Source organism: Homo sapiens, chromosome 22 (assembly GCF_000001405.40).
Source record: "Homo sapiens chromosome 22, GRCh38.p14 Primary Assembly".
NCBI classification, from domain to species: domain Eukaryota; kingdom Metazoa; phylum Chordata; class Mammalia; order Primates; family Hominidae; genus Homo; species Homo sapiens.
In genome coordinates this window covers 27,565,802-27,590,324 of record NC_000022.11, presented here as the reverse complement: position 1 = coordinate 27,590,324, position 24,523 = coordinate 27,565,802, and the positions used below count along the sequence as shown (strand labels likewise).

Below are 24,523 nucleotides of genomic sequence, written 5' to 3'. Positions count from 1 at the left end.
TTACAGGCGTGTGCCACCATGTCCAGCTAATTTTGTATTTTTAGTAGAGACGGGTTTTCTCCATTTTGGTCAGGCTGGTCTCGAACTCCCGACCTCAGGTGATCCGCCCACCTCGGCCTCCCAAAGTGCTGGGATTACAGGCATGAGCCACTGCGCCTGGCTGAGGGTACATTTAAGTTGAATGGAGGTGGGCAAATTGGGGTGAGGAGCATCCCAGTAGAAGATGGGTCATGCCAAGGTCCGTGGTGGGATGGTCAAGACTCCAAAGGGGAGTCATGGTGATTCCAGAATTTCCGGGGGTGAGAGAGGCTCATTGTTTACCTCCTGGGCCACCTCAGTCTGGTCTGGATCTTGGCCCGTCTGAGATTTTACACTTTAGCCATCAGGGCTTCAGTTTTTGCATCTGTACAATGGGTGCACTTCTATTTGGGCGGTCCCTTTCACCTCTATTATTCTTTAGTTGCTGAGTAGAGCTAAAAGTTTCCTGGCACGTTTGACTTAAAGAGTCAGCAGAAGGAGGAGTTTTGACCTAGGTCTCGGCATCACACACGCCCTAGTCTGAATTCTGGCTCTGCTGCTCTAGGGCTGGTTGACCAAGCTACTTTACCCCTCCAAGTCTCAGTTCGTCTGGTCCATGAAAGGGTAGTTTACTAAATGTGAAAGGTCATCCTGAAGATTGAACCAAAGGACACAGCATTTGCCAAGGGGTGGTCTGAATTTCATCAGCAGAAGGAGCAAGACATGAGCAAACTTTCCACTTTCATGTATTTATTCCAGTGTATATTGGACACAAATAGAATGAGCACATTCTACCAGTACTTTCGTGGATGTTCTTGCCTCAGATGACACCGAGATTAAAAAAGTGTCCCCGAAAGTTAAAAAAATGATGGACAAATAGTGGGGGAAGGATTTATTTGAAGGGGCAGAAATGGTGAGAGTGGATGAATGGCCAAAGTGTGTCAGGTTCCAAGGGAGATCATGTGAAGTACTTAGCATCACGCTAAGGGCTCACCATGGCCTCCAGGATGGGTGGCTACAAAACAATGATGATGATGATGATGGTGATGGTGATGATGATGATGGTGATGATGATAGTGATGATGATGATGGTGATGATGATAGTGATGATGATGCTGATAATGATGGTGATGGTGATGGCGATGATGGTGATGGTGATGATGATGTAACGATGATGGTGATGATAATGATGGCAATGGTGATGGTGATGATGGTGATGGTGATGATAATAGTGATGGTGATGATGATGGTGATGGTGCTGGTGAGGAGGAGAGGAGAATGAGGGTGATGATGATGGTAATGAGGAGGATGATGATAATGGTGAGGATGATGGTGATGGTGATGATAATGATGATGGTGCTGGTGACTTTTTGTTGTTGAGGGGACACCTCCTGTGTTATTGAGAAATGTGAATTCTTTTTGATTAAATTACTATGCAGCCTCAGGCAAAGTCCTCCCCCTTTCTGGGCTTGGACCACTCACCCACTCGAGATGTTAGTGGACTACAACGTCCTTTTATCTCCTATGGCTGCTAGGCCTGCCTGTTTTGCTGAGGTTCTGAATGGTAAGGCTGTGTTGAGGCAACCTCTGTCCTCAAACCCTGGGGGAAACTTCTGGTGTAAATACCCAGGCAGAGCCCCAAAATGCGAACATCTGGTTAAAACCTGGCAGGGCCCAGCCACTGCCTCCCAGAGGTGGGATGGACATAATAGTTCTTTTGCTAGACCCGGTGATTTATGTACCTGCCCTGGAGGCTGTGATGTTTGCACTTGTTTGACGTAGGAAGCAGGGGGGCCAGGAAGGTATCAGGAAGAAGGTGTTTAATGATATTGGGTAAATATTAGGTGAGCAGTGGCGATGACCATAGGCTGGGAGCTGGGCCGAGGGTGTGTCTCCAGCTGGGAAGCCTGAGAGGTCTTGACTGTATCAGGGCCCTGTGACAGCTGCTGCAATCCATATTCCTCACTCCAGAGTGTGCGTCTGAGCAACAAACTCACCTGAAAGGGAGATACTAATCCTTAAACTGCAGTACCTGAATCCAATTCACATCTTGTTTTTCCTCTCCAAGAGCAGCCTGGAATAGGGAGGAGAAGGCCAGGCCTCAGATCAGTCTTGGATTCAAATCCTGGCTCATTAACTATGTGATTTTGGGTGTTATATTTTGCCACTCAACCTCAGTAACTTCCTCTGTAAACTGGAATGAATCAATGCAGCTAAGATTCCTGAAGAAGAGCCAAAATTGCATGGAGGTGATTGTGCTTGGCACAAATATTGGGTAGCAGAGCAGAGCAGAGAAACCCAAGGGCACTGTGAGGATGAAGCCCACCTCATGCCTGGCATGCAGTAGGCACCCATCAGTGTCAGCTCATGCTTAGCCTTCAGGCTTGAGAAACATCTCTCAGGGAACCTGAAAAAGAGGCCATGATGTATATAGCAGCAAGAAGGGGCATCCCTGGCAGAGGGAACAGCACATGTGAAGGCCTGGAAGTGGGATGGAATCTGGGTTTGGTTAGGGAACAATGACACATTCTAGGTGACAAGAAGCAGGGTCAGTATTGCAGGTAGTGAGGCCAGGGAGAACGAAGAAAGGGTTTGGGGGTAGCACATGGGGAGGTACAATCAGATTAGGGTTTTCTTTTTCTTAAATATTTATTTTGTTTAATTCCTTTATACACTAGTCATGTGCTATGGGGTTGAATGTGTCCCCCAAAGTTCGTGTGTTAAAAACTTACTCCTCAGTGTGATGGTGTTGAGAGGTGGGACCTTTAAGAGGTGATTAGGTCATGAGGGCTCTCTTCTCATGAGTAGATTAATATTGCTGTCATGGGGAATGGCTTCATTATGGCGAGAGTGGATTTGTTATAAAAGTAAGTCTGGCTCTTGCTGTCTCTCTCTTGCACATACTTTTTTGCTCTTCTGCCTTTCGCCAGGGGGTGATGCAACAAGAAGGCCCTCCAGATGTAGCTCCTTGATCTTGGACTTTCCAGCCCCCAGAACCATGAGCCAAATGCATTTCTTTTCTTTATAAATTACCTAGTCTCTGGTATTCTGTTATAGCAATACAAACGAACTAAGACACCAAATACGTAATTTTATATACCTGCCTAAGTGTCATGTCACTTATGTGTTTCTTTAGTGCTGACAGTTTTGCTTCCTTTTTTCTTTCTCCTTGGCTTCCTCCACTGCTTCCTCCCATTGCAGACCACCCCCCAAGCCAGGTCACCCAAGTTAACTACCTAGTCTGAATTCTCCTATAATTTTCATAATTCTCTTCATACTCATGTCATCACATATGTGAAGCATTGCGATTGATGTTCTTTTCACAACGGGATCACATTGCACACACTTTCTCCATAGTGCTTTTTCCATGCCAGACATCTCCTGGTAATATCTTGAGCTGATTGGTACAACTCTATTCCCTCCTGTCCTTGGCTGCATAATACTCCATGGCTTGGCTGTACCCTGATGCTTTCACCATTCCCTGACTGAGGCTTTGCCTTTCCTTTCTTTTTGCTGCTATGAATGATACTGCAGGAAACATTCTTGAGCACATGGCTTTAAGTGCTGTGTGTTTGTTTCTGTGGGAGAGATCCCCAGGAGGGGGATTGCTAGGGCATAAGGTAGATTTTACATTTTCAGAGATGTAGCAAGATTGCTTTTCTAAAAGGCTGTAACACTTTACATCTCCAGCAGCGATGATTGAGAGGGTATTTTCTTCCCAGTCTAGTGGGGGTCATTGTTTCCAGGCTAATGGGAACCAGAGATTTGGGTTTTCAAAGGCTCTCTCTGCCTCCAGAGTGGGGAATGAGTTAGAAGGTGAGATGCATTTATTCAGCTGATTATTCAATTGATATCTGCGTTGTGAATTCTTCAAGATCAGAGTCTGGTCTATCTAGTCCACTCCTGTATCCTCCAGTACCTGACACATGGTCTGGCCCAGAGAAGGTGCTCAATGAATATTGGTGGAATGGAAGAAGAAATGGATAGATGGGTGTGTGGGTGGGTGAATGGGTGAGGGATAGGTTGGTGGGAGGAAGGGTGGGTTGATGGGAGAATGGGTGGCTGGATGGGTGGAAGAACGGAGGGATGGATAAATTCTGAGAGTGAGCCATGATTTCTGAGGACTTCCATCTTTCTCCGGTCCTGGGTGTGAACAAATCCAAAATTAGTAAACTATCTGCTCCTCCTTTCACACTAAGGAAATATAGCAGGACAGGTAGTTGGCAGAACGCCGGGAAAAATGTGTCCCTGAAAGGAGAATTAATGAGCAGTTGTGAAGATTACAGAGTAAGTTGGTTTACCTTGCCCTGCTGGAGCTGGCTTAAGACTCTTGGGGTGCAGCAACAGGCAGCCACATCCACGACACCCCCCTGCCCAAATGCGTCCCGTGGTAGAGAGAGAGCTCTCGAAGGTTGAAGACAAGGCTCCCCTTGGAGGGCCCAATTTGTGATGAGAGGCTGGAGTGATGCCACTTCTCAAGATCTGATAAGAGTAACCAACACTGGCGGGGCACGGTGGCTCACGCCTGTAATCCCAGCACTTTGGGAGGCTGAGGCGGGCAGATCACCTGAGGTCAGGAGTTCGAGACCAGCCTGGCCAACATGGTGAAACCCTGTCTCTACTAAAAATACAAAAATTAGCCGGGTGTGGTGGTGCATGCCTGTAATCCCAGCTACTTGGGAAGCTGAGGCAGGAGAATCGCTTGAACTCGAGAGGCAGAGGTTGCCGTGAGCAAAATTGCGCCATTGCACTCCAGCCTGGCGACAGAGTGAGACTCTGTCTGAAAAAAAGAAAAAAGTAACCAACATTTATTGGGCACTTACTGTGTGAAAGGGGCTGTGACTTACATGCATCTCATTGTGTCCATATCAACTGCTTGGGCAGCTACTCCTATTATCGGCATTTTGTAGATGAGTAAAAGGGGGCTCAGACAGGCTTGTTTACTCATCAGATTACACAGCAAGGAAGTGAGCAGTTGACTAAGCTTCAGCCACAACTTTAATCCACTGCTCCTCTAATGCTGCCCAGTGGCATCCTACCTATGCAGGAGGGAGCTCAAACTTTCCCCTTCACATTCTGGCCTTAGCCTACCTACTTGGCAGCCCCAAGTGATCTTCGCCAAAGGGCCAGGGTGCTTTCAGCTCTTCCTGCCTCCTCTGCCCTCTGGAGGTCTATGGTGGGGAGGAGGGGAGGGAAGTGTGTCATGAAGAGAGGAGACCCATCTTCTAGTTCTGCCTCTGCTACTTCCTGGGCCTCAGCATCCTCATCTGCAAACTGGGTTTATATCTGCCCTTGAAGGATGCTGTGATGAATCACAAGGTTGCTGTATTCTTGGGAGAGAGATTATTATCCCTGACCCTGCAGGATCTTTCTTGCTGTCCTTGCAGGGTCATGCATCTGGCTTCATGAAGCTTTTGCGATCACCTCTAGGATGGCCCCCACACGGCATAACAAGAGACCCTGATTTCCCACTTTATTCCCAGCCTTGGTCCTGGACCACACACTCAGCCCTCCTCGCCTCCGCCTGCTTCCATTGTTCTTTCCTTTCACCTGGTCCTTGTCTTACCTTGGAATTGACACCTAGGCATCCCTTCTTCTAAGTGCCTTTGTCTGCCCTGGATAAATTACTCTTTCCTGAACCAGTCCAGCCTAGACACTTTAGCTCAAACACATAAGGAGGAATGCTCTCTGTATGTTCACCCCAATCTCATTCATTCATTTAATCACTCAATAAATATGCATTGAGAATCTATTATACCATGAGCCAGGCGCTGTTCTAGGAAGTAGGAAACTAACAGTAAAAATACTCATCCAATTCTCATGGTATTTGTATTTTTCAATGAAGGCATAGGCAAATAGAAAAAAATTATAAATGGGACTTGGGAATTTTTCAGGCTTTGTTCAGTGTGGTCCAAGGGGTGGAGGAATGAATGGAAAGATGATTAAGCTCAATGGAAAGACAGCACATTACTCTGTACCTAAAATGGGGAATGAGCTCCCTGTCTTTGGAAGTGTGCAAGCAGATCCTAGACAACTCCTTGACAGGGCTCCTGGCATCAGTGATGGGGTTGGCCTGGGAGACTTTTAAAGCCCCTCCCAGCTCCAGGTGTCCGTGACTATGGGCTGGACGCTCTCCAGGCTCCCCTGCTATGGAATTGCCGGAAGCCTGATGGCTGTGAGCCCGTTTGCACTCAGCCTTCCTCGCTCCCAGCTCACCTCACACTGACTTCTGGCTCCTCAAACCTGTCTGGTTCTGCAGGGCACCCCTGGATCCTGGGGCTGGCTGGGAGGGGCCCTTCCCCCACTGCCTCCTCCTGGGCCCCTCCTGTTTATGAGGCTGTTGTCCAGGGTTGCTGGAGCGACGCTGGATCCACGCCCCACTCGGAGCCCACTGACTTTTGGGCTTTTTCATGGCTTTTGAACATAGCAGCTACTCCTGTCTCCTGTCTGAGTGGGTCTCTTGGATGAAAACCCATCGATGAGGGTGTTTCCAAGCACCCTGGGCTCACAAGAGCTCCTGGTTTTTCCTTCTGGCTCCAGCCGTGAGACCTTCTTCCCAGCCAGGTAGGGTGAAGTTCAAACCCAGGCTCTGTGGCTGGGCTGTATGAATTCAAATCCTGCGGGATCCTTAATCCTCCCTATGGACGTGCTTAGCTAGAGTGTCTAAACCCTCCCTGTGTCTATCTCAATGATGACAAGGCTTAGTCTCTCCTGGGGAACCTGGACAGGCTTGGGTGGTGAGGAAACCCTCTTGGGATGAGGGAACAGAGCCTAGAGCGCCCACCCCGACATTCCCACCGTAGTGGATTTCTGTTTGACTCCAGGCTGAAGGCTGGGTGTCCATGATGACCGATGGGCCTGCTTGTTTCCCGAAAATCCCTTGACATTCCCGTCATTTCTCTCCCATCTCTCACCTGACCTTAGGCCCGGAGTGGGGCTTGTGTCCAGGATGCTCTGTCCCTCCTGGACCTTGTGGAACCCAGAGTCCCTTCCACCCCCCATTGGAGGGCCAGACACCACTGGCTCAGCAGATGGGGAACCTGAATGCTACGCTACTTTATTAAACTCCACTGTTTAGCTTTCGGCAGGTCATAGCTCCTTTCTGGGCCTTGGTTTCCGGTCCAATGTTTGGGTCAGGTCAGGTCAGTGATTTTAGACTTTATCCTCCCTCTCCCGCACACCCTACTTTTTAAATTTGCAGCAACATCTTTCCTTTGAATAAAATCTTAGGTGAAACAGCGCGAACAAGAGGGGGGCAGACCAAGACACAGGTGGGGATCTAGAAAATTCTCCCTTGGAGACAAAGGCAGCATTAGGGACTGGCAAGGAAAGAGGCTGAACAGTTAAAATTTAGGATCACCTGCTGGGCCCCTTGCCCTGTCAAAACATGTCTGTCCTACGTCCCATTCTCTCGTGTTCCTGTCCTCTGTTTAGAACCAATTGTGTATAGACAGTCCCTAGGTGAACCTATACATTTTTGGCTTTAAGATGGCTCAAGGCTGGGTGTGATTGCTCATGCCTGTAATCCCAGAACTTATGGGAGGGGGAGGTGGGAGGACTGCTTGAGCCCAGGAATTTACAATCAGCCTGGGCAACATAGTGAGACCCTGTCTTTTCCAAAAAATTAAAACAAAAATTAGCCAGTCATGCTGGTCCGCACCTGTAGTCCCAGCTACTCAGGAGGTGGAGGTGGGAGGATCGCGTGAGTCCAGTAGTTTGAGGGTTCAGTGAGTTGTGACTGCACCACTGCACTCCGGCCTAGGCAATAGAGCGAGAGCCTGTCTCAATAAATAAATACATAAATAGAATAAAGATGGTTTGAAAGTGATACATATTCAGTAGAAACTGTACCTTGGATACCCATACGATCATTCTGGTTTTCACTTTCAGTACAGTGTTCAAGAAGTTACATGAGACATTCAACACTTTATTATGTAGTAGACTTTGTGTTAGATGATTTGGCCTAACTGCAGTCTAATGTAAGTGTTCTGAGCACGCTGGAGGTATCCTAGGCCAAGCTGTACTGTTTGGTAGGTTAGGTGTATTAAATGCATTTTCAACTTACAATATTTTCAATTTACCATGGGTTTATTCGGACACAGCCCCAGTGTAAGTCAAGGAGCATTTGTAATTGGTTCTACCAGGATGAATGGGTTTGTATTTTAACAGGGGTTTCCCAGAGACTTTTAGCTGGAGACGACCCTAAGAGGGAATGACAGGAGGGCTGAGGGCCTGGATGAGCTCTCGGGAGCAGGTGGACCGTTGGCGGAGACGTGAGCAGTTCCTTCCCAGCACTGAGCAGCACATTTTGTTTATACTGGGAGGCTTTCTGACTTCACAGCGAGAGTATTTTGGGAGAAACTGTCTCTCCCACATCTGGATTGGGGCAGAGACCAGCTGTTACTCCCATCTCTGTGTTCACACTGTTGTCATGTGTGGGGAAGTGCTGCCAAGTGCTGGGCGGGGACTGGAGCCTTCTGAATTCTCTCCCTCCCGCGCTCCCTCTGCCTCTTCTGGTCTTGTTGGAAGACTCTGGCTGAGGCAGTGGGACCCAGAGGGCTCAGGCCCAAGGGTCTGGGTTTGGATTCTGACTCCCACTTGCTCACTGTGGGGCCTGTGTGCATGACTTCCCCGTCCCCAAGTTCTTGTCTGTAAGATGGGAGTGACTAGTAAGACCCACCTCTTCTAGAGTAGGGAAGATGAAATGAGACCATGCACCCAGACATTCAGGGCACAGCAGTCGTGGCCACCTTTTCTTCTCCACACTGGAGGCTGTGCAGAGATGGAACCGTGAAACCTACCCAAGGGGCAGGGCCCTTCCTGGACTCTAGCCAGTGCCTTTAGTTCTGGGGCATCTTCCCCGAATACACACGCCCACTGTCTCCATGGACACACATCTATTCAGAGATGGACACAGACAGATGCATGCAGACACACTAGCACACGGGTGCACATGCCAGCCCTATACACATGGGCACATGCACACACACACCTTTGCACACATACACACACGTGAACACTCAATATGATTTAGCCGATGAGTGTATTTCAAGCAGGTCACGTTAGACAGCTCTTGCCGACTTTGAGAAAGGCAGGTGAAGTCCACATCCTCATGGAACATCTTGTCTAATGGGGGAGGCAAGCTCTCAGAGAGCCCAAAACAAACCACATAGAACAAAATCATTTAGACTGGGGAGGAGCTGTGCTGGAAATAACCTGGGGTAGGATGGTGAGGGTCATGGGGGGCACAATGGGGGCATCAAAGAGACATCTTCCCACCTCCCCCACCCCATATTGAAGCCCATATTGAAATAGTGGAGGATGAGAAGGAATCGGTTTTGGGAAGATCTGGGGGCAGAATGTTCCAGAAGAGGGACAAGGCCTTGAGGAGTGGCAGGAAGGCCGGACGGAGCAGGTGGAAATGAGGCCAGTGACAGTGGTAGTGGTAAGGCAGCACATTCAGGTTCCTGCGGTCCTGGTGCGGAGTTCAGATTCTTCCAAGTGCGACTGTGAGCTTAGAGATTGTTCTAAGACCTCCATATCCGCTATATGATGCCTACACACATGTATGCGGGACACCCTCAGGCACACACGTGTGATCTGGTCTCATTTGTGCACAACCATGTGTGGTTCCTGTTGTAACATGCATGTGGGTGAACTCTTAGGCACACACGCACTGCACACAGAGGGACACCCATGTGTGGTGCCCGCTTGGCACACACATGGCCTCACCCCTTTCCTGCTGGTGTTTCCACTTAGCAGAAGTGGCCAGGAGGTGGCAAACTGCCGACCCGCCTTGGTGCCCCCATCTGGAGCCGCCAGGGCTGAGGCCAGGGCATGACTCAGGGTTCCTGGTTGCAGAAGTCAAGGGGCAGCCTTGGCTCAGGTTTAAGGCTGATTTCAGTGAGCGGCTGCTTGCTTTATGTTGTTCTTTTGAGTGGTGGGGAGGCAAAGCCCAGAGAAGCAGGGAGGTGGAGAGAGCCACACTGGCTCCGTTTTCCATTGTTGGGCCTCAATTTCCTCATCTGCAAGCTGAGCAGGGCAATCGTGTGCCACTAAATTCTACCACGACCTGAGGATGAGGCAGTGGAATGACCTGTGATTTTGAGGTAAGCCCTGCAGTAGATTCAAGGCAGGAGAAATCAGCCTGACAAGAGGCAGTCAAGGAAGGCTTCTTGGAGGAGGAGCACTTGTGCCAGACTGCATAGCCCATTCCTGCTGAAACAGAACCCAGAACTGAGCTGCCCTTCATGGCATGTGCTTGGGAAAGCTGTGGCAGGACCTTGGGCCACTTTTGTGCTGCTGCCTGTGATGTGCACCCTGTGTGCAGTTCCACACACGGGACCCTGCAAGGTTGATAGGATTATCCCCATTTTACAGATGGCAAAGCTGAGGCTTAGGTTTTATGGCCCATGTCAAAGAGCTGGGAAGTTAAAGCCTAGGTAGGAATGCCAGATCTGCTGCCCGATTTGCAGGAGCCCGCACGGTGTCCACATCTCCTGCAGTTGCCTTCTCCTCCTTCCTCACACCCAGCCCCATCTCATTCAATCCTTAGTGCTCTGTAAGTGACAAACTGACTCCTTTCGAATGACAGTACCTGGAGCCCATTATGGGCAAAAATTAGGGTACAGGTCCCTTAGGAACGAGTTGGAGCCTCCAGTGTGTGTCAAGTTCAGCATGCATGGTTCATTAACATGCCCTTGGCGTCTCTCTGTCCCATGGTGATCCCCCTTGCATGGGCAAGGGGTGACAGTAACCCCATCTCTCTGTTTGCAGATGATGGCAGTTGGGGCTGTCTCAGCCTCTTGGACACTTATGTCCTCCAGTGGGGTCAAGGGAGGGAGCATCGAAGATGAGGGTAACTGTCGGCTCCTGCTCTTGTGTTTTACATGGATGGGTCTCCAATCTCCTTCACAGCTGCCTGGGTGTGAAGATGCTCTGACTGTTCCCGGGGATGGGGAGTCCCTGTGGGGACAGCCTGAATACTCGAATCAGACAGACTCAGGCTCACATTTGCCCTTTGCCTTGTCCTAGAGCTTCATCTCATCTCCAAGACCTCTCAGCTATAAAACAGCCCTTGTATCACTGAAGCCTCACCAGGCAGGGATTCTCCTGGCTTGTTTACTCTGGAATCTTCTGTGTCTTGAATCAAGTAAATGCTCAATAGCCATCTGTTGGAATTGTGAACTACAGAGCCGTTTGTGTGAACTACAGAGCTATTAAATGAGATAAAATGTGGTTAGGGCCTGTTACACAATCAGTGCTTCATAAATGATCCCTGCTGTATTCATATAAAGTGCTTGGAACAGTGGCTGGAAAATAATAATAATACAATTAATAGTAATTCAGGATATGATGATTAATTTTTTAGGCTTCTGATACAAGTTCCGCAATAACAGTCACTCCTCTGGGCATCTGTTATTTGCCAGGCATCTTGTCAGGTGCTTTTCAAGACATCTTCTCATTAGACCTTCGTCGTGGCCTTGGGGGGCACCTTTTATTATCCCTATTTCACTGACTAGGAAACTAAGGCTCATAGATGCCATGACTTACCCATAATTTTATTTTTTAGTTTTTCTAGAGACAGAATCTAGCTCTGTAGTCCAGGCTGGAGTGCTGGGGTGCAATCCTAGCTCACTGCAATCTCCAACTTCTGGGCTCTAGTGATCCTCCTGCCTCAGCCTCCTGAGTAGCCGGGACTGCAGGCACACATCATCACACCTGGCTATTTTTAAAATTTTTTGTAGAGATGCAGTCTCACTATGTTGCCCAGGCTGGTCTCAAATTCCTGGCCTCAAGTTATCCTCCTGCCTTGGTCTCCCAAAGTGCTGGGATTCCAGGCATGAGCCACTGTGCCAGGTCCTTACTTATAATATCAAAACCAAGAAGGAGAGAAGCCAGGGGTTGAGATTACCTTCTCTGTGGAATATCCCCCAGTCTCGGTCTTTCATGGCCACCTAGGTAGTTTTTGCCCCATTATTAACCCAACGTCATTCTTTAAATCCACTTTACACTAACTCACTTAAAAAAGATTTTAGCCTCAGCCTTAGCAACAATATCCATGACATCCCAAATTGGAAGTGATGATATTTTTAATACACATAAAAATAAATATTTGAGAATTAAAAACAAAAAGTTTTATGCCTGTGTACCACCATCTCCCAGCCACTGGGGTGTTTAAACCTCTTTTTGGGATTTACTGATCCAGTTCAACCATCTTATTTCATGGGTGGGGAAATGGGAGTGTCACACAGAAAAGTTCAGTGATTTGCCTAAAGCCACACAGCAAACACAGCTGAGACCTCCTGACTCCCGAGCCTGGGGCATTCCCTGCCCCTCAAACAAGTGTGTATGTCAGGAGAGGCGGAGCTCACCCAGGGGTAGGCCCTGCCTGAGTTTGGAAGGAGACCAGGCTCCGCTTCACAGACACCATCTCTGTTAACCCTCAGCGCACCTCTTAAGGAATGCCTTCTTGTTCCTATTTTAAAGTTGAAAGGACTGAGGCTCAGAGAGGTAGAGCAAGTCTCCAGAGGACACACAGTAAGGGGTGGAGCTGGGATTTGAACCCCAGATCTGGGTGCTGTGCATTGGAGAATGTCGCTAAGGACGCGCGGACTTGGTGGAAGGAACACCGCTGTCAGGGGTGACGGTGCGGAGGACACAGGTTGGCTGGGAGCCTTCAGTGTTGGGACCGAACGGCCTTCTTTTCCTCTTAGCCTGAAACATCTATGCTGCTGTACCTTTCCGCTTTCTGGAATAGATTTAGGTTGCAGAGGCCTTTGCTGCAGCTGACGTGCTGCGTATTTTTAACTTGGAGAAGAATGTCCTGGGCTTTCTGAGCCTCCCGCCAGCCGTACCTCCTTGGGACCAGGAATGCAGCCTGCTTCCTGCCTTCAGTAGCCTCTCATTTTCTCCCCAGCCCAGCAGCCCTGTCTTCTCAAGTCGAGACGGCTAAAGGTCTTGGGAATTTTCGTAAAACTCTTAAACCTGGCTGTGAGCCAAAGGGAAACAGCTCAGAGAAGGCTGACGCTGTCTGGGAGATGATAGAAATATGGCATTCCTGCGGCAGGCGATTCCTGAATTTACGGGGGGCGGCATGCAGGCCCATCAACAAGCAGCCGGCCCTGATGGCTGGATCTTTGCGGCACCCAGAGACGCAGCCGGCAGGAAAAGAAGCGGAATAATCGCAGCCAGTTATGCAGCTTTTGCTGTGGGCCAGTGTTCATTGGTCTTCATGGGTTAGCTCCCCAAAGCCTCATGAGCTGAATGGGGTGGGTGCTATTGTTAGTGACCCAGAGAGGTACACTAACTGGTTCAGGGTCACACAGCCAGGAAGTGGTGGGCCTGGAATTCAAGCTCAGTCTTTGCTGCTATACATCCCTGTTACATACACCTAGACACATCCACCTATCCATGTATGTACACACAAGCAAGCACGGACACAATACATGTGTGCATGCAAACACACAGACAACATACACACAAAGACATGGATGCAGCACAAGAACACATATGCATATGCAACATGCATGCACATACAACACACGATGGACACAGTGCTTACACGAACACACGTACACACACGTATACCATGTGTGTGCATGCACTGACTCATAGACACATTCCAAAACCTGAAGCCAAAGTGCTTACCTGGCTATCTGGAGCAGGGCCAGGACTCTGTCCCTCAGACCCTGGGAGCACCAGCTTCCTTCCTCCCTTCCCTCCCTTCCCACAGATGTTTGCTGTGGTTCCGGCCAACTAGCCAGATGTGCGCCACGGCCCAGGATGTCTCAGAGACCCAGAGGCTGAGGGGGTTGCCAGACTGCCCCCAGATGTCTCCGTGACACCATCCGGCCCCAGGCTAAGAGGAGCCAGACCCTTGAAAGGGACCCATTGCTCTGCAAGGTTGCTGGGCTCTCATGGTGCGGGGGGCAGTTTGCCACGAGAGCTGAATTTTGTGGTCCAAGCAGGAATTCTAAGGCTGAGTCCAGTTTGAAGCTACCACGAGACTGGGGGCTAGCCCTCTGCCCTTCCTGAGCCTTAGTTTCCACTGCGTGCAATGGGGACAGCCAGGCCAGGTTGGCCTCTCGAGGGTGTCTTGGGGACTGAACACATTTAAAATGGAAAGGAATCTTAAAGATATCTTTAGTTCTCAATTTGCTGATGGGGAAACTAAGGTTCGTATCACACTGAGAGTCAGTGGCAAAATTGAGCTTGGAAACCGGCTCCTACAAATCTTGGCTGGAAATGTCTCATATTTAACTTAACCAGCTTCTTCATCGGCAGCATGTAGCGGAACACAGGAATGAAAAGATTGTTCTGTCTTCTTGCTAGCAGGCCTGTTCTGACATTTCCTTTTTGCCCTAAGACATTTTTCTCTGGGGTTACTGATGAACAAAATGGAATTTTTTCTGAGACGCATCCAGTTGGTCCAAATACCAGTGCCCCCAAATATAACATTTACTTCTCCCAAACCCCGGGCTTTGGTCTGTTTCACCCCAGACTCCCCAGTCCAGATTTCAGAGGCTTGGGGTCAACGGCAAGGACATTGCATTATAGTGCCCCGTACTGATGCGACTATAGGCTGGGTTTGGGCTGTCTCTCTCTTCTCAGGGAGGTGGCAAGGAGGGAGAATGTCAGTGTCAGGAGTATGGGCTTCCGAGTGAGGCAGATGTGAGCTCAAATCCCCGCCAGGTCTCTCACCAGCTGAGTGACCTTGGGCATGTTTCTTAACCTCTCTGAGCCTCAGTTTTCTCATCTGTAAAATGGGGATGAACGTATGTCTTGAGGCTTAAATAAGATAACAGATGTGCAGTGCTCAGCAGGGCTGGCACGGGAAGTGCTTGGCAGTTAAGCTCATTTTCCAGACAGACAAAGGGACGAGTCCTAGGTAGGCCACCTTCAGAAGGTGAGCACTGGGCAGAACCCGGGGCCAGATGAGCCCACAGCTTGGCTCTGGCTGTAGGCCAGCCTCCTGGGTGACGTGTGACTTCATTTTTCCATGCTTTCCCTCTGGAAAAGACCTCAGCTTCTCTGCAGCCACCATGCTCGCCTATCCTAATTTCTCTTTGCAGACAAAGATCCCTGTAACTAGTTCCTGCACTACCTACTCAGTCTCAGCCCTATAAAAAGCTGACCGGAGCTGTTATTTTAAGGGCTGTCACTGCATTTCCCTTCGAGGGTCCCTGCTGGAACTGGCCTGCCGTTCCCATGGCTGGTGGCAGATCTCTGAGCTGGCTTTCAAGGACAAGGAATGGACAGAGAGTGGCGGCCACTGCCTGGGGATGGGGGCTAAATTCATGCTCTGAGGAAGAGCAGCCCCACCACCCTCAGCCCTTCCTCTACTTTCTCTCTTATTTTTCGGCAGCCGGAGTACCTACTCTATGCTCCGAGGACCTCCCGGGTAATCTTTTTACAGATGAGGAAGCCATGACTCAGAGAGGGACAGCGCTTTCTCCAAGGACACACAGCAGAAAAGTGCATGGTTCTCCTGGACTCCCGGCTCCAAACGCTTTTCCCGGCTGCCTCTTTTCTTCATCTGCTGCCTCTTCTCCCCTCCCTGAACTCTTCCTCCTCTTCCCCTTCCTGTATTCCTTTCCTTCCTTCTCTTCCCTGTCTCCTTCCTCTTCCCCTTCTTCCTCTCTCAGCTCCAGTTTCCCTTCCCTCCTCTCTTCCAGGTCTTTCTCTAGACGTCTTCTTACCCCACCGGCTTTTCCTGTCGCCATCATCATTATAACATTGGAAACACATCAGGAGAGAGAGAGATGACATTCAGCAGCATGTCTGGGTTCCCCCCGGCCCAAGTCCTGCACCCAGTCCATCCCATGCATGATGTCCTTCAACAACCCCAGGAGATGGGTACCATATCTCACCATTTTACAGGCAAGGACAGGACAGGGGGACCCGGAGGAGGAAGCCACCTGCCAAGGTCACACATGAAGCTGGGGCTTGGGCTGGGGTCTCAGTGTAGATCTGGCTGACATCAGAGACTTCATGTTGTAGTAAACACACACACACTCACGCTTTAAAAAGGAGAGTTAACTTACAAACTCTCAAGCATACAGAGTATAAGAGAGCAGCGCAATGCATTTTTACATGTATACACCACCCATTACGAAATAGCACATTTTCAGCACCCGGAAAGTTTCCCTTGTGCTAGCCTCCCAGCTGACACCCAGAGTCCCTGGTCTTAACTCAAAACTTCAGCTCTAGCCGTATCTGGGCTGAAATCCCTGTTGTGTGACATCGATCAAGTTGATTTGCCTCTCCGTGCCTCAGTTTCCTGATCTGTAAAACAGAGCTACAATCCTCTCCCTCATAGGACAGCTGCAGAAAAACCCTGACTTAGGTCACGCAGCAGGCACAGCCGAGAAAGGTGGGCCTTGTGGTTAATGTTATGAATGTGCCGGAGCCTGGGCCCCCCCTGCTCCCAGCAGTCATGGAGGCTGCTGTCACCCATCAGGCCCCCAGCCCCTCTCTGAGTCCCAAGGCCCCAGCCTGAGAAGGCCCCAGGAGCCAGGCCTGCTTCTCTGGGGAAGTGAGGCACAGTGGCCCCTGACCCCAGCCATTTTCCCGACCCCCAGACCACAGCCTGCAAGAGGCTAACCTGCCCCCCGAATACTGCCGGTGACCCCCCCCTGGGCTGGCGAGGCTGCGCCCGCCCGCACCCATTCATGTATTTTGTATTATAAAATGACTGCTGTCTCCATGGCAACATAAAAGGAGCCGATCTCATTACTGGGGCCCGGACACATTATTTTCTCCAAGGAATTTCTTCTTTTCATTATTTCCCTCCAAAGGTCAGTTATCCTCTCAGGCGGGGCGGGGGGCGGCAGCGGGGGGGTCTTCGAAAGGTGAGCCGGATTCATGGCAGAATTCCCCTGGCGGAATTTACAATCATTTTGCCTTTTTCCCCTGCTCTAACACCGTTGGAGAGATTTTCTTGCGGCCAGGCAGTTCTCTTTAACCCCTGCAGCCCCGGCAGGCAGCAGACAGGCTGTTCCTGTTGCACTGTCCTGGGAATTCCCGCCCATCTCTGTGCCTCCTTCCTCCTCCTCACAGTCACCTGCAGCTGCCCGACTTCAGGTTCTGAGAGCAGGAGAGGTCTGCAGTTTGTCTGATTAACCATGGAGTAATTGAAGGGCTCAAAGGCAATTTGCTTTTATTCTAAGCCCTCCCACTGAGAAAAGCACTCCTTTAAAAGTTAATACTAGTGATAATAATAATTTATATGGATATCTGGAATGCTGTGTAGTGTAGTAATTCAGAATTTTGGTTCTAGGGTCAGAGGGACCGGGGTTCAAATCCTGCTTCTGCCAATTTCAGGCTGTGTGACCTTGGGCATGTTGCCGCATCTCTCTGAGCCTCGGTTTCCTTATCTGTAAAACAGGCCTCATACTGGCATCTGCCTTGCAGTGTGGGGTAAGGATGGAATGAGATATGTATGTAAATTACTGAGCACAGTACCTGGCACACAGGAAACAATATTGGTGATGATTTATCTTTGGGTATATAGCTGTCAGTTACTGTGTATGTCAGTTATCTGTTGATGTGAAACCAATCACTCCTAAGACTTAGTAGCTTAAAACAACAATAAGCATTTATTATCATTCATAGTTTCTGTGTTTTGGGCATCTGGTAGCAGCTTCATTGGATGGATTTGGCTCTGAATTTCTCTTGCTGTTGCAGTTGTGTGTCTGGGGCTACAGTTATCTGAAGTCCTGACCAGGGCTGAAAGCTCTAATTCCAGGGTGGCTCACTCATGGCTGGCTTTTGATCAGGGGCCTCAGTTCTTCTGGATCTTCACATGGTCTGTCCTCAGGGCTGCTTGAGCATCCTCACAAAATGGCAGCTGGCTTTCCCCAGAATGCGTGATCCAAGAGAGCAAGATGGAAACTGTGATGACTTTTATGATCTTCTTTAATCTTCTCAAGGGAGATTCAAGGCTGATTTCCATTTTACAGAGGCGGTTGGGGCCCAGAGAAGGAAAGCAATTTGCCCAAGCATTGAATTCCAGATCTGAGTTCTTTCTCCTGCCCCTGCTTCTCATGGACCCAGTAACTATGGTGGTTGGATTCTGCTGCTCCAAAGGGAGGGAGACTTGCTGGGAAGAGAAACTCTGGGCAGCCCGAGTCTGTATTGCAGCTGGTTGGGGCAGAGCAGTGCACAGACACTCAACAAGTGAAGCCAGTCAAAACACTCCCCCCAACGAAGCCAGTAGAAGAAGCGTGTTTGTAAAACTGACGGCGTTTTTGTTGACAGGCAAATGTCTATATTACATGGCAACAAATGGCTGGAAGATGCAAAAATGCAGTCAATCATCAGGGATTGTTTTTTCTCTTTAGAAAAGAAAAGCTCTCCCACCACCAAACAGGATGAGTGATGTTTGCTTTGTGTTTGCAGATCATTCTCTGATTTAGCAGGTTCCTGGGGTGCGGCTATGGAGACCCAGGGGCAGCCCAAGTCCTTTTGAACCAAGCAGGGAGGGGTTTTCAGGGTCTTTCCAGTGACCCAAGGGAGGAAGGGCTGCGCTGAGATGTGCCACTTTCAGGCAGAGAGAGAGAGAAAGATCTGGGGGTGAGGGGTACTAGACCTCTGGATCGGGTGTCATCGGCTCGCTCCTTGGCATAGTTTCAGACCCGATTTTCTGGCTGACTTTCAGAACTACAGTATTGCTCAAACTCTGCTGTGCTCAGAGCCTCGTAGGAGAACTGGTGAGAATGCAGATGCCCAGGCCCTAACCCTGGAGATTCTAATTCACAAGGCTAGGGAGGTGGCCTAGGTACCTGCATTTTAAAAATACCCACCTTCCCCTTCCTAGAGATACTAATGCAGGTGGTCCTGGGAAAACACTCTTGGAAAAACACGTGATGTGGAAGATAGACCCTGTGGCCTCTGTTCCCTTGATCTAGCACATTCCTGGTCATGTCAGGGCCCAGCTGGGCTGTGTCTCCAGGAAGTCATCCCTGATCCCCTCTTTCACAGAATAGGTCGCACTCGTAATGACACTGCTGCGCCTATCCCTCTCATTTCTTCTGGCTCAGTTTCTCAGAACTACACAAGGGGAGCCTGAGGTCTGAGTCCTCTGCCTGATGTCAGTTCTTCAAATGTGGAAGCCATTAGTTCATTCATTCATTCATTCATTCATTTGCCAGGTCTGTATTGAGCACCTGCTGCATGCCAGGCACTGAGGACAGAGCAATGACTGAGACAGATTTGGTAACTGTAACTGTTGCCCTCCCAGAGTCCAAGGTCTAATGGGGGAGACAGCTCAAACAAGCCAAGACACAACTCTATAAAACATCTGTAAGTTGTATGTTTCCCAAGGGGATAAACATAGATGGGGACCTGGGGGGCAGCTACTTTCACTACAGGGCTGGACAGAGAAGGGCTCTTCGAGGAGAGGACTTCTGGGTTGAGATCCAAAGATAAGAGGAGGCTGATTACTTGAGAACTGGAGAAATGCCGTTCCAGGCAGGAGGAACAGCATGTGTAGCGGTCCAGGGGCAGACAAGACCCAGAAGTGTTCAAGGCAGAGGAAGAAGGCCAGCGTGGCTGGAGTGGAGTGGGTAAAGGGGAGAGCACCATGAGATGGGCATGGAGCACACCACATACAGACTGCAGCAGAGTCTGGGTTTTATTCTGAATCAGACAAGAAGCTGTCAGAGAGTGTTGCATGGTTAGAAGTGAAAAGGCTGGCCGGGTGCAGTGGCTCAAGCCTGTAATCCCAGCACTTTGGGAGGCCGAGATGGGCAGATCATGAGGTCATGAGATTGAGACCATTCTGGCTAACACGGTGAAACCCCATCTCTACTAAAAATACAAAAAAATTAGCCGGGTGTGGTGGTGGGTACCTCTAGTCCCAGCTACTCGGGAGGCTGAGGCAGGAGGATGGCGTGAACCTGGGAGGCGGAGCTTGCAGTGAGCTGAGATCGTGCCACTGCACTCCAGCCTGGGCGACAGAGCAAGAAACCATCTCAAAAAAAAAAAAAAAAAAAAAAAAAAAAAAAAGAAGTGAAAAGGCTAACAGCACACCATTTTTTGGACCAGATCCCTATCCTTTGGCAAGTGAAGCGTTAGCATTTTACCCATTTCCTGGGAAGCTTGCAGTAAATGTGGCAATTACTACTATTATGACTTAGACCTTAGATGCCACCTCCTCCAGGAAGCCGTCTGTGCTTCTGCTCCAACAGCTTCGTATTCACCTCCACCAAAGCATTCGTGATGGATACATGAATATGCCATGACATGCCAATATATCTGCAGAACTGTAGCCAGTGCCCGTTTTGCTGAATGGGAGAATCCAAGAGGGCTCAGCCTCATCTTTCATCTGTGTCTTCCAAACACTGAGTGAGGCCTGGCACAGAGGAGTGTGTGCGTAGCATGGTGGGCAATGGTGAAATCAGACTGAGTTCAAATCCTTGTCTACCGTTGGCTAGCTGTGCAACCTTGGAGGGCTCCATGAGGAGTGAAGAAATAGTAGTCTTTGTCAAGGTGTGTGCTGTGATGAGTAGGAGAGCAAGTGCCTACAAACTACACACCACGGTGTTTGGTGCACAGAGAGTGCTGATGGCTGTTGGCTGTGCTTGTTATCCTGTACCCAGATATTTATTGAATAAAGGTTTTGGGGGCAGCCCCGCTACCCTTTCATTGCTCCCACCACCCTGCCACTGCCTGCTCCCACCCTCCTGTGGACAGGAGTTTGGCTCATCAAATCCTTGAGTGCTGGATAAGGATGTGTCAGGTTTGATATCTGGCTGCTACTTCCAGTTTCTCGGATTTCCGGTCCTCATACACTTTGGAGATCTGTGTGGGGATTTGTGGTGACCTGGGCACTTTATAGTGAAACAGCCAGAAGAGCCTGGAGAGGGCCTGGGGCTGGGGATCACAGGACCCCCACCCCCAAAGCTGATTCCCTGGTTAAAAGTACAGGAGGACACTTTCCCTGGGAGGGGACGGGGACGGTAGGACATTGTCCCTCAGATGGGATGTTTGGAGCTTGGGTCACTCCATATCCATCTGTCCGTCCATCTGTCCATCTGTTAGTTGATTATTCACTGAGCACTGCCTGTGTCTGGCACTGGGGACCCAGCAGAGAACAAGGCAGATGCCATCTCTGGCCTCATGGAGCTGATGTTCCCTGCAGAATAAGAAAGGAGCCGGTGTTTGGTGAGCGCCTGATAAGCGCTGGGCATTTCTCCCACGTGATTTTTTTGGGCTCACCATCACTCAAGGTTGGTTTTGTTGCCCTGCTTTCCAGATACCAACCTGTGAGGTTCAGGGAGGTGATGTCAGTTGCCCAGGGTCACAGGCTTGAGGGTGGTCATGCTGGAATTTGGACCCAGCCTGTCTGGTTCCCCTATATCTCCCATCTTTCTGTAAAAGGGAGCTTACCTTCAACTTGGAGGTTGCCGTTCTGTCCCACCTCTGTGGTGCTCCGATTCTTAACCTGGATCTGCCTGAGGACAATATCCACGTCTTCTATATCCTGGTTCCCCGCAGATTCCAGCATGTTGCCAAACTGGCAGCAAGGGTGAGACATCAGGGCACCAAACAGAACCCTTCCAGCATCCGTCCCCTTTTGGGCCCTGGTTAACCCACCTTTTACATGAAGCCTGCCCTGATTGCCCCAACAATGGGGACCTTACTTTCCTGTCTCTGACCCTGAGAAGCCCAGACTCTCTGAGGCATCATTAGTGCCACCATTCTCCTCCCCCTTGCATTCGCTCCCGCTCCTCTAAGTGGCAAATATTAATTAAGCACCTCCTGCGGTGAACTGTGCAGTGGTTATGGGCATGATCTCTGGGTTCAGAGGGCCTGGGCTTGAACTCAAGCTCTGCCATTAGGGATGTGGCCCTATGAAAGTCCCATTACTGCCCCGACCTTCCATTTCTTTATTTCTAATGTCAGAAGGTTCTTCTGAAAATTAAATAAGATACAATGTAGCCCTTCCTTCTTCCTTCCTTCCTTCCTTCCTTCCTTCCTTCCTTCCTTCCTTCTCTCTTTCTGTCTTTCTCTTTCTCTCTTTCTTTGACAAAGTCTTGCTCTGTCACCCAGGCTGGAGTGCAGTGGCAAGATCTCAGCTCACTGCAACCTCTGCCTCCCGGTTCAAGGTTTCAAGTGATTCTCCTGCCTCAGCCTCCTGAGTAACTGGGACTAGAGATGCATGGCACCATGCCTAACTAATTTTTGTATTTTTAGTAGAGACGGGGTTTCACCATGTTGGCCAGGCTGGTCTTGAACTCCTGACCTCAAGTAATCCACCTGCCTCTGCCTCCCAAAGAGCTGGGATTACAGGCGTGAGTTTCTTTCAATTAAGAGAGTGAATCTGGGAGACTTCAGAGCACACCAGCTATATAGCCAGGAAGAAAATCGCTCTGCCCAGTAGAATTCCTGATGACTTGCTAAGAGCGGATGAAGAGCTGTGAACTAACCCCTCTTAGTTTAACCGCTCACATCAAGCCATCAAATAAGCTTTGGAAGAATACCTATTACGTATTTACTACTGAGAAGGGATCAAGACACACGAACAGACAATTCTGTGAAGTGCACATCTGTGCCTTCTCTCCTGATGTTTCCCTCCCCAAGGGCTCCACAACATTCTTCAGCTTGGAGCACAAACCTGGAGTTCCTATGAACTTTCACTGGAAGGATATTGTTAACACCCCCTGCTCATTAGTATTTCTGCCAGGTGTGACCCTTGAAGAAGCTTCATTCATTAGGCAGATGTATCAATAATCCAGATATATCTTTCAGGCAATTTTTTTTTGTTTTTTGTTTTTTAATGAATAAGCATTTATTCTCTTTAAGGCCCTGGAAAACATGGGCTTTGGTGCTAGAGCATTCAGCTTACGCAAAACACCGTGAATGCTAAAATTTGCTTCTTTTTGATTTAGTCTCTTGCTAGCTTGAAGGACTGGATTTTATAACAGGTCAATTTCAGACCATTTGATATTGATATATGAAGATCCTTAGGGATTATTGAATGCATTTTTCATCCAGCTGCGATAGTATCATATAAGGAAAATGGGATTGACTGTTAAGTACAAATTGAAAAAGACATGGTCATTTAAGATAACTCCTTATCTGTATACAAGGAAATGGTATCAGGGAAATAGACCACCAGTTGACAGAAATAAATTTCACCTTGGGTTCCTCCTCCACACACCTCCTCGACTGCTGTTCACACTCGTCTGGGATTATTCAATTATTCTGGGAGCTCTTTCCTGGGGCCCCTGTTAGAGGATGCGTCTGGAGGGAGAAGAAAGTCCTCTGCTGTTTTATTCTAGAAGGAAGGATTGGATAGGAAGAGCTGGGGCCATTCGTGGGCTAACCCTTCAGGACTTTGCAATGGGGCAGCTTTATCCCAGAATATGGCAGGTCTTCCCAGCAGAACCTCTGATGCTTGCTATAATAGAGCAGGCGGAGAGGTGAGAACAATGATTTCACACCTTTTTTCATCCACCAGGCTCACTCACATGACCTCTGTTGCTCACACTGGGGACACTCAGCCTGTGTCCTGGGTGATGGGTTGAGAATTTCTATTCTTACGTGGTAGAACGCTTTTCATAATTCACATCTCTTCGGCCCATGACAGCTCACACAATCTTTTGGAGTGGCGTATACACCCTGTGAGCCAACGTGAGTTCTGCCTGACTCCTAAATCTGTACGTTTTCCTGCATCGTGCACAAGAATTGTGGATTTGAAGCCCAGTTGGAAAATTCCCCAAGCCCCCAGATATTCCCTTTGCTGATGGTTGGGATGGCAGGAAACTTTTCTGGTCCTCTAGAGTGGTAGAGTGCACTGGCCTGTTTCTGTTCTTCCTGTGCCCTCTTCTCTACCACTCTGGGGGTGGTAGAGGAAAAGGGCTGCTACTTTTACAGGTCCTACTTGTGGAGAGGTCAGCTGGGAAGTGCATGCTCTGGGTCCCCTAGAGAACAAGGCTTGGGGTGGTGTTGGACATGACCTTGAGGGAAGCAGGGTACATGCTCCAACTTGGCTCCTCTCACACTACAGGGGAAGTCAACATCAGAAATCCTCTCCAACTTCATAGAGGAAAGGGCTTTCAGAGACCTTAGAGACCTCAGGGGAACCAGGTGATTTGAGGCCTAAAAGTCATCCCCCTTAAGCTGACTTAAGGCTAACTCATTATTCCTGAGGACTTACTGTGTGCCAGATTTGCCACTTCCAGGAGACTCTGAGAAGGGCGTGATGAAAATTGGACCAGTCTCTTTATATGCATAATGTTGTTAGAACTCACAGCACCATCACTCTCATTTTATGGATGAGCATCATCAGCTGGGCAACGTGACCCCCATTTTACAACTGAGGAAACTGAGGCTCGAGGTGAGAAGTAACTTGAACAAGTCACACAGATGTTAGTGGGAAAGTAATTTGAAACTGGGGTTGTTTAACTTTGAAATAATTCACTCATTCACTCATCCACTCATTTTTTCATTCATGCATTTCCTTACCCACCTACCCATTCATCTTTCCATCCATCCT

At 49.2% G+C, this 24,523-nt stretch overlaps 3 annotated features.

Moving 5' to 3' along the window:
- Nucleotides 13,385-13,885: an enhancer, noted in NCBI's record as "H3K4me1 hESC enhancer chr22:27972401-27972901 (GRCh37/hg19 assembly coordinates)". NCBI's record gives its function as "activates a minimal SCP1, AML or CMV promoter by ChIP-STARR-seq in primed H9 embryonic stem cells {active_cell/tissue: H9 hESC(primed)}" and the evidence as "EXISTENCE:reporter gene assay evidence [ECO:0000049][PMID:30033119]".
- Nucleotides 13,886-14,386: an enhancer, noted in NCBI's record as "H3K4me1 hESC enhancer chr22:27971900-27972400 (GRCh37/hg19 assembly coordinates)". NCBI's record gives its function as "activates a minimal SCP1, AML or CMV promoter by ChIP-STARR-seq in primed H9 embryonic stem cells {active_cell/tissue: H9 hESC(primed)}" and the evidence as "EXISTENCE:reporter gene assay evidence [ECO:0000049][PMID:30033119]".
- Nucleotides 15,964-16,537: an enhancer, noted in NCBI's record as "H3K4me1 hESC enhancer chr22:27969749-27970322 (GRCh37/hg19 assembly coordinates)". NCBI's record gives its function as "activates a minimal SCP1, AML or CMV promoter by ChIP-STARR-seq in primed H9 embryonic stem cells {active_cell/tissue: H9 hESC(primed)}" and the evidence as "EXISTENCE:reporter gene assay evidence [ECO:0000049][PMID:30033119]".